At 35.3% G+C, this 16244-nt stretch overlaps 1 protein-coding gene across 58 annotated transcripts in view; it reads left to right on the plus strand.

The window, feature by feature from the left end:
- Nucleotides 1–16244, plus strand: part of PAM (peptidylglycine alpha-amidating monooxygenase) — a 276323-nt gene that overhangs the window by 176171 nt on the left and 83908 nt on the right. For all 58 annotated transcript variants that reach the window (NR_157231.1, NR_033440.1, XM_024446066.2 and 55 more), the window contains one exon: nucleotides 15884–15932. Coding sequence is in view for 56 of the 58 variants with exons in the window: in XM_024446066.2 (XP_024301834.1) it covers nucleotides 15884–15932 (49 nt within the window). In the remaining 2 variants the exon portion in view is untranslated. The remainder of the gene's footprint in view (nucleotides 1–15883; nucleotides 15933–16244) is intronic.

Consider the following 16244-nt stretch of genomic DNA (forward strand, 5'->3'; position numbering starts at 1 on the left):
GGCAGACTGGTAATGGCACATCCTAGTTTTGTTACCCTCGCTGAGTTTCTAAACCTCTCTTTGCTCTCCTCATCTGTAAAATGGTATCATAGTGGTATCATAAAGGTACCATACCTTTATATAAATAAAGGTACCTGGTTAAGTAGTCAATAAATGTTAGCTATTATCATTATAGTCCTCATGAAAGGATAAATTTCCCTAAATACAATATTTTGTCTAGTTACACATAATATGAAAAGGACGTGGTTACTTTTCAAAGATGTTGTAGTTTCTCATTATTTTTAGACACAGAACTGTTTTGAGTGTGTCACGTTGCCAGTAGAAGTTTCCTAGTTAAGCTGTGTTTCGTGTTCTCCACAGCAGTTTTTGTTATTCATAGTTCAGCTGTACAAAGATAAACTGCAAGACCAACTTCCTGCCCTTAAGGAAATTAGAATAGTGAGAATTGGGGATTCCTCCAGGTTTCCCTCTCCCCCTTTTTTTGACCAGTTTTTTCAGCGAAATCTTGTTCCGAAGTGAAAATTCTCCTGAGATTGTTGCTGAATGCTGCCACATTTCTTCTCGATGTTTTGGCCTAGGGGAATCTTAAGAAAGCTCTCCTCTCATTTTTAGAATTTCTGGCATTAGCTTACTAGTCTCCAACAATAACTCATTTCTCAAATTGAAGATCCTGTGAACTCACCTATTGAAGTTGGAACTGATATTCTTAGAATGAAGGTCAGGGTCTCTTCCCAAATGTATTGCCCTGATTGTCTTTGGATTGTCAAGACTTCCAAACTATAATCCACTTACTGTCATTAAGCTCTTGGCGCATATGGGAAAACTAGCAGATATTATTAACAACAAACAACACACTCTCTCTCTCTCTCTCTCTCTCTCTGTCTCTCTCGGCTTGTTTCCATGCCTTTCTCACAGCCCTGTATGTACACCTGCATTTTGTACATTTAGTATGTTCCTGGAAGTATAGCCAAAAGTTTTGCTTTCCTTAGAGTGGGTGTTTAATATTTACATTCTAAATTAAGTGAATACAGCCTGGAGATCCTATTTTCAACTCTCCTTTATGTAAGCTCTAAGAAGTTTCATCTCCAAACTTTGGGGATTATATTAGTAAAATCAGATCATAAAGCTCTAGTTAGAACACTCAGAGGATGATTGTTTTCAATAGCCAAATTTTCCAGAATGCTAAGGTTTTAACCCTTTAAGTACTATAATGTTAAAACATCTTGGATAGAAATCATTTTAGAATATATTATGTGTCTTTCCTGGGCACAGTGGCTCACGCCTGTAATCTCAGGAGGCCGAAGCAGGCAGATCACCTGAGGTCAGGAGTTCAAGACCAGCCTGGCCAACATGGTGAAACCCTGTCTCTACTAAAAATACAAAAATTAGCCAGCTGTCGTGGTGTGTGCCTGTAATCCCAGCTACTAGAGAGACTGAGGCAGGAAAATCGTTTGAACCCGGGAGGCAGAGGTTGCACTGAGCCATCACACCACTGCACTGCAGCCTGGGTGACAGAGTAAGACTCCATCTCAAAATAAATAAATAAATAAATGTATATATATATGTATATATTATACATACACACATATATGTATGTATGTGTGTGTATGTATAGATATATATACATATAATTGTATATATATATCTGCACTCCAGCCTGGGTGACAGAGTAAGACTCCATCTCAAAATAAATAAATAAATATATATATATAAAAAATAAAAAATAGAGTATATTACGTGTCTTAGGAAGTTAAATTAGATGGTACATGTTAAATGCCTACAGCTGTGCCTGACACAGAACAGATTGGCAATGAATGTTAGTTCTCCTTATCCCCTTCTCCCTTTTCTTCATAACTTTGAGATAGCCTAGTGAATATCAATGATTGTGCTATGATTTCTTTCCAGTTTTTAGGAGTACGTAGAGTTTTTCCATGTAACTGGGCTCATTGCCATCTCCTATCTGTTCTTCTGTATTTTCTGTAGCTTCCTTTGTTGTCAAGCTACCATTGCAACTCATTTTAATTCACACAACGCACTACATGGAGGAAAAGATGAGTAAGAACAAAAGTCTGCCCTCATAGAGTTCCCGTCCAGTGAGCATAAGTACACTTAAAATAATAACCGTAATAATGCGAGCCAGTACAAAGTTAAGTGCCATGAGAGAGGGGATTGGAAAGCAGGCAAGATCACACCTAGTTTAGATGTTTCAAGTTATCGGATTGATATCATATAGGCACCCTTCTTCCTGTTCTAAATTTATGTGTTAGATACAGAATCTAGATGAGTTTCATATTATCAGTTAGATATGGAATCTAGATGAGTTTCATATTATCAGTTAGCATAAATAGACTTTGGCTTGCAGCCCTTAAGGGAAACTTTTTAAATAAAAACATGATCATCTGGAAAATGGGGATTAAAAAATACAATAAAAACATGGGAACACTGCAGCCTGGACTTTGTGACCATCAGATTTGATTTTTCCTTGCCCTCTTGCATTATTCCATGCTGGCTGTGATCCACTCGGGTGTGGTTTCTGCAAAGCTTAGTTCCAGACAGGTGGATATTCCTGAACACAGGGTGTGCATCTGTGTATTCACACAAATACACATGTATCCATACAAAGGGTTCCTACCTAACCACAACTGAAAGAGTAGTAGAGTGAAGAGCCAGGAATGGTAATCATGGCAGGAGGAAGAAAAAACAGAGGACTCCAGAGGAATTCTGATTCCACTGTGACTCCAGCTGTATCTCTGCCTCTTAGAAGACTACTGCCAGGAAGCTATTAGAAAAAGCTTTGAAATTGTGAGCTCAGGAAAAATCCCTTGCTAATGCATTTTGAACAAGATGGAGCAGAGATCAGTGGCAAGGTAACTGTGCTTAAAATTATTTCATTCCACTATAAAGCAGGTTGTTCTGACTTCAGTGTAAGCATCTGAGTGCTCCTGACTTCCTGACACCTAATTGCAGAGAGAGTGGGAAACTGGATCAGATTGCTCCCTGTTGCTTTCCCTGTTGTCTTCTCTCAATCTGCACAAGTAGCTTCCTCCTACCTGCTTTCCAGTGAGATACATTAATCCTGCTTTTACTCACTCCGCTGCGAAGTGCACAATACTATGGGCCAGGATATTTAAGCCTATGTATTTTAGAGTATTTCGGAATACTTTCCATATTTAAGAATCTCCCTTGAAATTGCAAACATGGGAGGGAGGTTATTGTTACTGCTCCTCCAACCTCAGCTGACATAGACGTCCAAAAGCAACTGAGTCTCTACAGTGGAAGGGAGACATAAATAGCACCATCTAAGCACTCATCCTAGCCTTCCCTGAATAGGGCCCTGGCGTGTACATCAGCCATCAATCTGAATCCCCTTTCCAGAATAGACCATAATGTTAGTTCTTACCATGATCTTTCATTCCAGAGCACATATTGCGTTTCCAAGTTCTCAGCTCCAGAGACAGCAGCCCTGCTGAAACAAGCCTCACCCCTGGGAGATCCAGAAATGTGTCAGAAATATGGTTCCAGGAAGGATACACTTTTACCTCAGTTTTCCTTCTTTATTCTCAAGGCTGTGATACTCATGTCATCTACCAACTCTCCTTTTTTCTCTCCCTGACTCCCATTTCCAATTTCTCTGGTATGCTTTGATGGGGATAGGGACACAAACCTTTATGCAAATGCTTGGGGGCAGATGTGGTCTGGAATTAGGAGCTTTTAATATTTTTGAAAGGTATTCAACTGAATAAATCATGTACTCTATCACCTTTGTGAATCTGGGGCACCATCCCTATGTAGATACACTAATGTTTCTATAACAAATGTTTAAATATTCACACAAAAAGGAATAAAACATAAATATCATCATATTCATTCAAGTCAGATTTTGCTGCCAAAACTTAATGAGAAAACTTTAGCCTTCCAAAGCTGTTTAGATTTCAGAATTGCAATAAATTCCAGTATTAGAACAAAGAAATTATTTCTTCATATTTGAGTTTTCAGTTAAAATACTAAAAAGGATTGGAGGACTCTGGATGTATCTGCACATTTTCCCTTTAAAATAATCTTCTCTTCTGAACTTTATTTTTCCTCTTTTGGAAAATATAGAAAATTATTAAAAAGAAAAGTTGAAAATCCCTTGTAATACCCCTACTATTGAAAAAAATTGATAAAACCCTCTTCAATCATACCTCCCTTTCTCACCTAATTCCTCCCCACCCCAGCTATTGCTTATGTCTGCCAACTTTTCATTAGCTTATCTCAGCATTTCTATATGTGGAAGATAAACTAATGTATCAGATATGTGTATATGTACTTTTTTCTTTTTTTTTTGGACAAGAATTAGATCACATTTCCCACAGATCTGCATCTGTTGTTGTTGTTGCTTTTCACTTAACAGTGTACCCTGGACATATTTCTAAGGCAGCACATGTAAAGCTCTTCCATGATTTATAAAGGCTGCCTAGTATTCTTTTGTGTGGATATACTCTAATGTGTGTATCTTATTGTCTATTAAAGATGCTCTGAGTTTTTTTGCTATTATAAGCAATGTTAGAAATGTTTTAGGTAACCATGTATTGCTACTGCAGGGCAGATATCTAGAAATGAGATTTTGGGGTCATGGAGTGTCTAAATCCTAACAGGTTCCACCAAATCGCTCGACAGTTTTTCCAGTTTACAATCCCATATCCTTGGGCAATGAGCAAGTCCCATATCCTTGCCTGCACTAGATGTTTTCACACTTAAAAAATTTTACTCAGTGTTTACTTAAACAGACTCCTTATAATGTTTCATTTAAAAGATAAGAATTAACTGAAAGATCTTAATAGAATTACCTCTAAAGTTATATAGTCTAGATCAGGATTTCTCAAAATCTAATCAGAGGACCGTCTGCACCAGACTGTCCTTGGGGTACTTTTTAAAATGAAAGTTCCTAGTTCAAACTAGGCCTACTGAATCAGATGCACAGAAGGTAGAGCATAGGCAGCCAGAGCTGGCTCAGATAGGCTCACAAGAGCCAATTGGTAATTTGCAGTGTTTTTGTAAGCTGATTGTTAAATATCGCAATCATTAAAAATAAAGGCAAGAAATACTCAAAAATCTTTATTTCCTAATTATTTTACTAATTTTACTATTATCTGTGCACTTGAGGGTATTTGCATCTGTTGTATCTGTGTGGTGGAAATACTACAAAGTGTTATTTTACTGCTAATTTCTTCCTAAAGCAGTGATGTCATGTTGGTAGCTTGAAATTGGCTGTGGTGGGAAAATTTACATTGAAATCAGCTATGGTGGAAAAATTTACACCATGGAAATTGACAAATAGTGCAAGTCAAAGTTCTGTCTATTATTTTGCTGGTTGTCTAGACCTGAGAAAATGATGGAGAGGATGTTGGCAATGTGGATTACTGTAAATGCCCCCAAAAATTTAGGACATATTCTTCCAGGATTTGCAGACTGTTACCCATTACACCAAAGATTTTACTGACATCCTTAATGTGCAAGTTCCAACATAGGTCTTTGTTGTTTCACTAAACAAAATATTATTTCACTAAACAAATATTTTTGTTTCACTAAACAAAAATATTAACAAGCATTCTTGTCTGAACTACTTCATGGCAATTACAACCATCAGTGGGCTATAAAAAGTAGAGCAAAAGTCAAGGAAAGAATTATGTGAGAGTCAACAGCTTATATGGAGTTAATAATGAAAAGTATTGTATATTTTATTATTATTTGTAAATTGCTGCACATTTTTGCCAGTAAAAACTGTAACAAACATATAAACACACCAGTAGTGTGTATTTTTTTCACAGAGCCAATGTATTACTAGAATATCACTGGGCCCAGGATTCTGAAATTTTAACAACCTGCCTCATTGATTTTTATGCAAACTAAACTTTGACAACTGGCGCTCAAATTTTCCTAGCAAGGATTAAAGTCACTCCTGCATTTTTTTCCTGTAGAACAGGTGTGTCAGGGCAATCTCCTGGGGCCTAGGACATGAGCAGAATAATTTGCATTTACCAAAATAAGTTTAATTAAATCTCAATTCTCTTAAGAAAAGGGGAGCTTTGAAAGAAGAAAATGCATTTAATTACTGTCTGGTTATTCTAGCACTTTATTTCATTTAGAAATTCGAAGAAGAATTTATTTTCTTAACTTTTTCACAAAATTTGGCATTTGGATTTTAAAATTCTTTAATAGAAGCCACTTACAATGCATATCTGACATTCTCAGAGATCCCCCTCCCCATATACAGGTGCAAAAATGTTCCTTCTTCACACTTGATTTAGATATATCTTTTTGAAGAATGGGCCAAAATAATTTATATTCCTTCATTTTTTTACATTTTTTATTTTAAAGTGGAATATATGTGTTGACAGACACTAGAAATGGAAAGGAAGAGGTCCATGAAACCAAATCTGAAAGAGAAATGATTGGCAAGAAGGTAACATTCAACCTGCACGAAACGCCATGGCCTCTCAGGCCTTTTCAGTTAAGGGGAAGAGGTTGAAATGGGCTGAGAAAGCACTGTCGAACAGGAAAGCATGACGTTTTTTTCCTTCTTCTGAAAAGAAAAGGAGTAAGACCAATGGATGTTATGTGTCATGTACTCATTTGTTTATAAAGCACTCGTTTTTAAAATCAGAGACAGAGAACAGAGTTCAGAGTGACAGAATGAGAACAGCCTAACTAAAAGGGATCATCAGGCCTCACCCTTCCGTTTTACAGAAATGAAGATCGATGCTCAGAAAGGTTGCATGACTTGCCTAAGGTAGTCCAGTGCTATTAAAAACCAAAACAATTTAATTCATATTGGTTTTCTAGTTTGTGTATGTAACAAAGTTCATGCTCTAACTATGTAAAACAAGTAATAGAGTCACTGTTTTTAAAAGTCTTTTGAGCCATAGTTATGAAGTGAAATGAACTCATGCACAGTAGAATTAATATTAATAAAGATCAGAGTGGTTTACTTCATCTCATTTGTGCCTTTTCATTTTCATGTCTGAAGTAATCCATTTCCCTTATCATGTAGAGATATTTCTAAATCAGGTTGCTTGATAATCCCACTGATTTCAGAATTGTAATCGGATATTCTTCATGTTCTTCTCTAACCTTCATTATACACAAGCAGCTTGATGTGAGTCATGCGAATGATTTTAGGACTATTTAGTACCTCCCAAATGATCTGAAAGAAGCCTATTATCCTTCAGTATTTTTTTCTTGCAGCCTCTTCACATAATTGTGAGCTCTCTGATTCTCTAGCTTGCTGCATTTCAACTTTGTTAATCATCTTTAGTATGGAAGACAAATGATCCTCAGTCATCTCATTGATTCCATGGGACACCTGTTTATTTTAATACCTAAATATGGCCATTATGTATCAGGAATTACACTTTCATTCATAGGGTTATGAGAAGATATGTAAAGCACTACAGTTATACTTCTTTTTTAAAGAATATATTCAGAATGTTTTTTATCCCTTAAAACGTGGATTTTTAAAAAAGTAATTCAACATTGAGCAGAGCGTAAGTGATGTCTTTTTTGGGAAAAGAAAAGCTTTCCTACATGCAATTTAGTTTTTCAGATTTACATTTAGTTCTTCTAGTTTTTTTGAGAAATCCTTATGCTTTACCTTTATTGATCCCTTTGCAACTCATGTTTTTTTAATCGCTCATAATTATTAACTCATTTTTAAAAGCTGGTCAGAGCTACATAGTCATCATCTAATTAATTCCATTTGAATTAATGGCAAATAGCATTAAATTTTTAACCCAAGTAAATTAAGAGGAGAAATAAAGTCACTTGCTCACTGGCACAGTCTAAAATTAGGAGCTACAATTCTGTTTCAGTGAAATGTAGTTCAGGGCACTCACAACACTAAACGAGGTTTGTTTTTCACTAACCACTCCCACTCCCACAGGCTTCCTGCCTTTCACGCTGTTCCCCACTGCTCTCTTCATGGCCCTGACATGTTTGTTTATTATGTTCTAGGAATTCTGGGAAAAGAAGGAATCATTAGAAGTGCTGGGATTTGCACATTCCATTTCCCGTTTAGTACTAATTTCTTTTATGTTAATTGACTGTTTTACTTGTAAAACGAAAAGGATACCCTAAATAGATACATGACCTAAAAAAGCATTTGATGAAAACCATTCAAATATAATGTTTAATAATATGGACAGAATATTCTATTAGCAAAATAAAATCAAACCTTCCCTAGACCCAGAAGAGAACATTCTAGCCTTCCTATTTCTCCCAATAGAAACATTATTCTTTTCATCCAGTTTGGAAACCCTTCACCTTATCTCCATTTCTTTTCATTACATATTAATTATTCTTTTTTCCATCTTTAAAAACTTTCAAAACTCTTTCTTCTCATGGGGTCATCTGTCCTCCCCCACACTTTTCGAGTCTCATTTCTTTGCAAGTACGTCTTATCCTTGTTTCACAATTTAACTGTGATGTACCCCTAATAATAACTGAAAGTAAAGTAAAATCTGGTCAGTAGCCACAGACCCTTCTACACTGACGTTTTGTCTTATAGTATAAAGTCTTGCAAAATTCCAAGGGAATGTTGAGAGAGAATTCAGGTCACTGAAGGGTTTCAGTATTTTTTTCATTAACATAGTAATCATACTTAGCATTTATATACTACTTTTCAATTTAGAAGTGCCTTATGTTACTTTTTTAATCCTCATACTACATTACTACATAAACATATTGAATGACTGAAAAATTAATACTAAATCAAATGTATGAGGTATAATGTTCAAAGTGTATTCCCTAATTAATACCAGGGACTACATGCATACATAGTTATATGTAAATTAGATACTTTGGATTTATTTTTTCACCAAGGAACCAAAACACAATACAGAATAGTATTGTAAATAGATTAAGATGATTGGGTTGAAAATGTAGATACTGATTTTAGGTTGACCTTAAAAAATATATATATTCTTATTAAATTATAGCTTTTGGAGAATATAAACTTTCTGTGTTCCCAACAAAATGGATAGTTTTGCTGCCAGGTTACCCTCCCTTTGTTTATCATGAGTCTTTAGAGGTTTAAGTAAAACAAAAGAGAGACAACACATTGTTGCACAAAATAGTTGAGAATTCCAATGGGAATGAAAGGAAACCTTTTATATATGTATACATACACACACACACACACACACACACACACACACACATACACACACACACATATATATGAAAACACCCTCAAGACTATTCAAAAATTTATAATAGAGAATTTTATACGAGAAATAGTTTTCAGCTTTATATTTTAAATTGTGTTTAAAAGGACTTTTTAAAATCAAAGCTCTTCAATCCCTTTTCATTTCATGATTTATTTTATCTAGTACTTTCTTTATGGTTTCTAGACTTTTGCAGCTACATTCTGGACTCAGGGAAAAACAGATAATAATTGGGACAACGCAAAAGGAAATTCAGATTAACATTTAAAGTGTATATATATATATAATGCTATATATATTTTATATCTATAATGCTATGTATATAATGCTATATATATATATCAGCTATATATATATATATCAGAGGTAAGAAAGTGATATATATCAGAGGTAAGAAAGTGATATCAGAGGTAAGCAGTTAGTAGGCCTTTTGACTAGAAGAAAGAGGAAATAAAAAAAGTAAATATTTCTTAGTAACCAAGTATAATATTTAAAACTGCCCAACCAAAGCCCATGAAGCAAGTGAACAAGTTAGTTAAATGTTTCTTTTGGTTTTAGCCAAAAGACAACTCTTTCAGAAGACAAATGAATGTTTAAATATGGTATATACATAAATATAAAGGTTTAAAACTTAATGCCTCAGGAAGGGGACGTGAGTGGAGGATTTTTGGGTGCTGGTTACATGGGTGTTAGTTTTTTAAGTTTCCTGGATCTGTACTTTCTGATTTGTGCACTTTTCTGTGTATCAGAGTTCAATAAAGAGTTCTAAAGCCAATCAATAATTTTGAAATTTAGCACTGTACTTTAAAAAAATAACTTTATCTAGGATTGGTGGGTTTTATCTTTTAATTTTACTTTCTTAGAAGGATGCCTCTGGAGCAGGTTCATAATTTTGAGAGATAAAATAGTATAAATCATAACTTCACTGTAGACTCATATTTTTTTGCATTCATAAAAGATGGAAACAGGAAAGTGCTCTTACATTAGGTGTGCCATAACATCCTCCACACACACAGCAATTATAAAAGCAGGTTGGAGAGCCTGCCTTCCTGCCTTCCATTTGATCTCTTTTGCGAACAGCACAGGCCATCATTTGTGAAAGTCGTCGTCTTGCAGGATGGATAAATGCGTTTTCTCTTCCTTGCCGCAAGGCAAATGGAAGCTAGTAATTTCTAGTCCCATAGCAGTGAATACAAAATCAAAAGAGGCTAACTCAATGCAGTGACAGCTTCAAAAGGAATTGTTTTTGAAGATTCTTTTTTCCCATAGTGCTGGTTTATTTAGCACTGAAGGTCATCTGCTAACCCAGCTTTCAGCAGCCTCCAGGAAAACCTCAGTGTAGCTTGTGTCATGTATTAACAGTCCCCCAATTTCACTTATATTTTGCTAAGCAGATACACATTTGCCATGACAGCTTAAAGTGTCGGTGCTTTTGAATGGAGACTATTTTATCTCGATGTATCTGTAACTGGAGAGTCCTCATGCTCAGGACTGGTAACTCAGATTTTGTTTTGAAGGAACTAATTTTTAAAAAAATCTGGTAACTCAGATTTTGTTTGAAAGGAACTAATTTAAAAAAACTTTAATATATGAATTTTCTGGTTAATTTGGATGACCACCATTTTTTTGAGTACTGTTAACTGACTTTAGGACCTGCATTTCTAATCCAGATGGTACAAAAAAAAAAAAAAAAAAAAAAAAAAGAGCTGTGTCTTAGCTTCATTAAAACCAGAGTTTCATTCAACGTCTCTAATAGAGCCCAGAGTGAACACAAGATCTGGATCCGCTTTTCCCTCAGTTGGGTTCATTTTTTATTTGCCTCTCATACCTATGTCCCATCTCTCTGCAGCAGTTTCAGTTGCACAGAAATGACCTTTTTTATATAACAGCACAGCCCAACTGTATAGAAATATCTTTTTAAAAAAACAACATGGCCCAACTGACACAGCTGACAGCAATCTGTTCCAATGCTAAGGAAACTGGCTGTGTTGGATCTGTTAGGAGACCTCACTCTTTATTCTCCTACGGGATTTTCAAAGTAATTATAATTATATGAAATTTCCCTCAACTTTAGAAATTAATCCCCAAATAATCTCCTACTCCTGCTTGATCACCTTGGGAGCCATGATTTAGCCCCAGCAAAACATCCTGTCCCAGTAATTTAATGTTATTAATTTAGAACAAAGAACCATAAGGTAAAGATCAAAACAGCTTAATAGTCAAATAGTTATTACAACATCTATGTATGTGTATTATTGCAAAGTCATTTGCATTTAGTGATAATATAAAAATGATGTCCCTGATTCATTTTTGTTTGTATGTTCAAGACAGAGAAAGTAGAGAAGGTGGCCTTTAAATTAGTTCAGAACACTCTGGGAGGGTGGGAAGATACGATACAGTTTAGAATTATTTGCTTCCAAATTTTCTAAATTTTTTTTTTTTTTGAAACAGAGTCTTGCTCTGTCACCCAGGCTGAAGTGCCGTGGTGTGATCATGGCTTACTGCAGCCTCGACCTCCCAGGCACAAGCAATCCTCACAAGTAGCTGGGGCTACAGTCACACGCCAGCATGCCCGGCTAATTTTTTTTTTTTTTTGTAGAAATGCAGTTTCACCATATTGCCCAGGCTGGTCTCAAACTCCTGGGGTCAAGTGATTCACCTGCCTCGGCCTTCCAAAGTGCTGGGATTATGGGCATGAGCCATTATGCCCAGCCTAATTTTTATTATTGAAGATGTTACTTCTTTTTGTTTTTCCTAAGACTTGGCAGTGGTTTCAGGCATACTTTTTAGTACCTCCTTAAAGAAAGAATCCATTATCCAAAAGGGTGGCTTGGAATAGTTGGAAATGAGTGTGCTCTAACCTTTACCTTCACCTTCATAGAAGAGTGTGGTGAATTGAAAATCACTCTACAAATGTCTTTCTGAAGGACTTTCCCAATTAGTGGGACGTAGTTTATAACAATACATTGGTTCCCTCAGGATCAGCGGTTAATCTGTCTTTTTATTGAAGCAGGAAACAACCAGGACAAGATGAGCTCATAAAGTATAGAGCACTATCTCTAGAGGAAAAATTAGGAGAGACCAACAGAACCATCTAAGATCATCTAAGAACGTAAGATGTAGTAGGTTATTATCGTGCATTATTCCACATAATTTACTACTTAGCTAAGAATCCAAGCAGGAACTACAAGCTATTATTAGAAAAGCAAGCTAAATAGTTTGGGATGAATAACCTCATATCCCATGCATTCACCTCCCATTAAGAGAATTCCTACTTAAGTGGATGTCCTTAATTAAGTACCACTGGTTACTTACCCATTTTTGCTTAATTCCTCTATCTTAGCTTCCTAGGAATTTTAACCTTGGAAGTCTCTAAGATATAGAACCCTTGTTTTTTATTTTTGCCTTTTTTTCTAGTAAATAGCATTTATTAAACATTAATATTAGAGAATTATATTTGATACTCAGATGTGTCACCAATTAGCTGAATTACTTTAAGAGGCAACACACTTAATCTCTGTGACCTCTTTTTCCCTATCCATAAAGTGTAAGATTTGAACTTACACTCTCTGAGTAAATCATGTCTGGTTTCCCTTTCGGTTCTGAGATTCTGTGAGTCTATATATCTGATAAAATAATTCGGCATGGTTATACATCTCTGCTTAAGCAGAGGAAAGCAGTTTCTCAAAGGCAAGCCCAGACCCTTGTGAAGCAGTCATTCAGTTTCATCTTCCTTAAAATTAGATTCTGATTGAATGCTATTTTCAAGTCTCATCCAGTATCTGGAAATACTCATTTCTTTCATTATCAGACTACTCTTTGGAAGTCTTACCACCCAACAACCAGCACTACAATATTGTCCTATGTTGTGATGGCCTCTAAGGCATTATCAGACTTGGCTATTTTACATTTCTTTTTAAAAATTATTATTTCAACTTTTCCACTGTAAATGTCCTCAACATTACAAAAGCTTCTTGTACATGCATATGACATTATAATGGAATAGTGACATAATGAAATATCCCTCTCAGTTTTACCTCATACCTATCTAGTGAATGAAGTTTCATCTCCATATCTTGAAAACCCTTACACTAAAATTATTTTTATTGCAAGAGAACAACCACTATGAAAAATCTTTTTAACAGGGATGTCTTGGGGTTCAGTTCTCTGTAAATACAGGACATTAGTAGCTAAAGGCCAGGTATTTGCCTGTGTACCTTTGAGAGAGAGTTAACCTGGCGCCCAACCCAATGAAAGAAAGAATATTTACTTTGGAATAATAAAACTAAAATAAGAATAAATGAAACCACCTGAAAAGAACAGCCGTTAGGACTTTTGCATGATAATGTTGTACAGAATAACTGAATGTACATTGGAAGAATAATTTCATGATCAACACAAAAATGACCTCACTGTCTTTTCTACAAACCTAGGATCCCGTCGAACTGACTTCAAGCCCAAAACTCAGAAAAAAAATAAGGTTGTCTTGGGACTGGTCAAGGAGTGCATTGTTACTAAAAGTCATGGAAGGACCCTGAAACATTATCAACTTCTTTACGGTCCCATGGCCTCTAATTTAAGAATTTCCTTTTACCCAGACCATGGCATTTATCTTACTAAAATTTCTTTGCTTCACTTATGATTTTATTCTGTATCTAGCTAGTTCAGACCCTTCTGAGAACATGTTTTGCACAATAACATACCAAATTTCAATTCTAATTTCATTTTTTTAACTATTTTACTCTTTTAATTTTCCCATGTTTTTCCTGCTTTCTTCTAGTCCTGTCTTATTACTTGGAGAAATTTTATGTGCTTCAGTTTCTTTCATTAAAGAAATTTCACACTCATAACTGTAAAATACATTTCTTAAAAATAAAATATTCATGTACTGTATTTTTTGGAATATACCAATAGAATAATAATAACTAAGCATTTAGTGATTTTTTCCTATGCTCTAAATAGAGTGCTAAGTTCTTTACCTAAGTTATCTCAGTTGTAGACTACTTAGAGTTTCTTACTGGTATAAATGTTGATCACTAGTGCTAATCTATTGAGTATTAAGTACCTAGATTTTACTTCTCTTAGACAAAGGAACTCAGTGAGCACTTCGTTGAAAACTGATGATGGTCCTGTAAGGCACTATCCTATGATCAAATAATTGTGCAGGATTGAAAAATACAAATGAATCCCAAACCTTCTATTTGACAAATTTGGCATGTGGAAATGTGCAATATTTATATTGAAATATAAATTCAATATTTATATTGAAATGTAAATCTATAGTTCATATAGCTTATATAAACTATATATAAACTAAATATATGTAAAATATATATAAATATATTTTGCTTCCTTTCTGCCTTTCCTTCAAATTCAATCCTCTTACCTGACTATTTTAGTTTTTTGATTCACGACAGTTCCCATCTGTTTTTTAAGCAGTGGGATTCCATTTCTGTGGTCTTTGGCTCTGAGTTAATTTGCCTATCTATTCTTCTCCCCCCCTCTCTCCTTTTTACTTTTATTCTAGTCACAGAATAAGTCTATCCAGCTGGCTTTTCCAGCCAGGATATATGATTTTGATATTCTGAGTTCATTTTCTGTACAGTTCTTAACTGTCTGAGTACTGATTTGTTTTTTCATTTTATGTAGTAAAATATTAGCAGAAGCATCAATTTTTATTGCAATAAACGTTTTAACTGTCAAATGCTTTTATGATGATGCATGTCAGAGACAGATTTTATATATAGCCTAATGAATTGAAATCAATTAATTCTTAGGAGGTTTCATATCTTGTGGCCCAAGCACTGTATTACAACAGAAGGACAAAGTCAGAGCACACTGCAAATCATCAGGGAAATATGCAAAACTAGCTGAAGTTTCTGAGTTCACAGAAGTAAGATCAGCATAGAGGTTATGGAAATAATAATGCATCACTGTGGCAAGGATCGTGTTGGAGGTCATAATCTTCACACCAAACACTGAGGCTGAAATATGCTGCTTATCAAAACTGCCACCTGCTATAGGAGCAGCTGTTGATCCAGGACCCCTGTTGGCCTCCAGACCACCTTGTTTGAGGGCATTCAAGTTGCTCCCACTGGGACTTCTCACTGTGTATATGTGCAAGCATATGGGCTCTTCAGGTCAAACTGTGGAAAGCTGTACTGGAAGAAATTTAAAGTCTCTACAATAATAAAATTCTATTTTGAAATAATATATGAATGTCAGTAGACTTCAGCAATGCCTAAAGTGTATGAAAACCTAAATTATGAACTACACTTCTTAGAAAATAAAAAAGTCTTTTGTTTGGTGCAGCATGGAGCAAACTATTTTAGTTCAGCAACTTTTCTGGGTTTTTCAACAATACAGATAATGCATAGAGAGTATTAACAACTTTCTAGTATCTAGTATGTCTGCAGGAAAGTCAATATATTGGTCAGTTTGATGAGTCAAGAAATACCATAGACTGCATGAAATGATAGTTTTGTTTTTGCTGTTATGATACATTGGCAATTAAAGGAATTACTGGATATGAAAGTACTTAGTAAATCATAAAGAACCATACAGATGAAACATAACTTGTGTTTTAAAATATTTGGTTATAATCATTTCTATCTTACTAGTTGGAAATCCATTTTCTACATTATCATATTTAAGATATGTGTTTCTATGTGTGTTTTCAGATAATAACAAGGACTGTTCTGGTGTGTCCTTACACCTCACACGTCTGCCGTAAGTACTTCCATTTTTCCTAGAGGAGCAGCAACTTTAACATCTTTGCGAACTTAGAGTGGGAAGTTTACTGTATTAATTATCTGTGGGTAAAAATTAACCTAAACTGGGTTAAAACAACAAATATGTATTGTCTCATTTTCCTGTATGTCAGTAATTGGGCACACTTAGCTGGATCCTCAGGCATGTGTTCTCACACAGAGGCTGTAGTCAGAATCTTGGCTGGGGCTTCAGTCAGCTTAAGGCTTGACTGGGGAGGAGCCACTTCCAACATCACTCACATAGTTGTCGGCAGGCTTCAGTTCTTTGCTG

This window comes from Homo sapiens, chromosome 5 (genome assembly GCF_000001405.40).
Source record: "Homo sapiens chromosome 5, GRCh38.p14 Primary Assembly".
Lineage (NCBI taxonomy): Eukaryota > Metazoa > Chordata > Mammalia > Primates > Hominidae > Homo > Homo sapiens.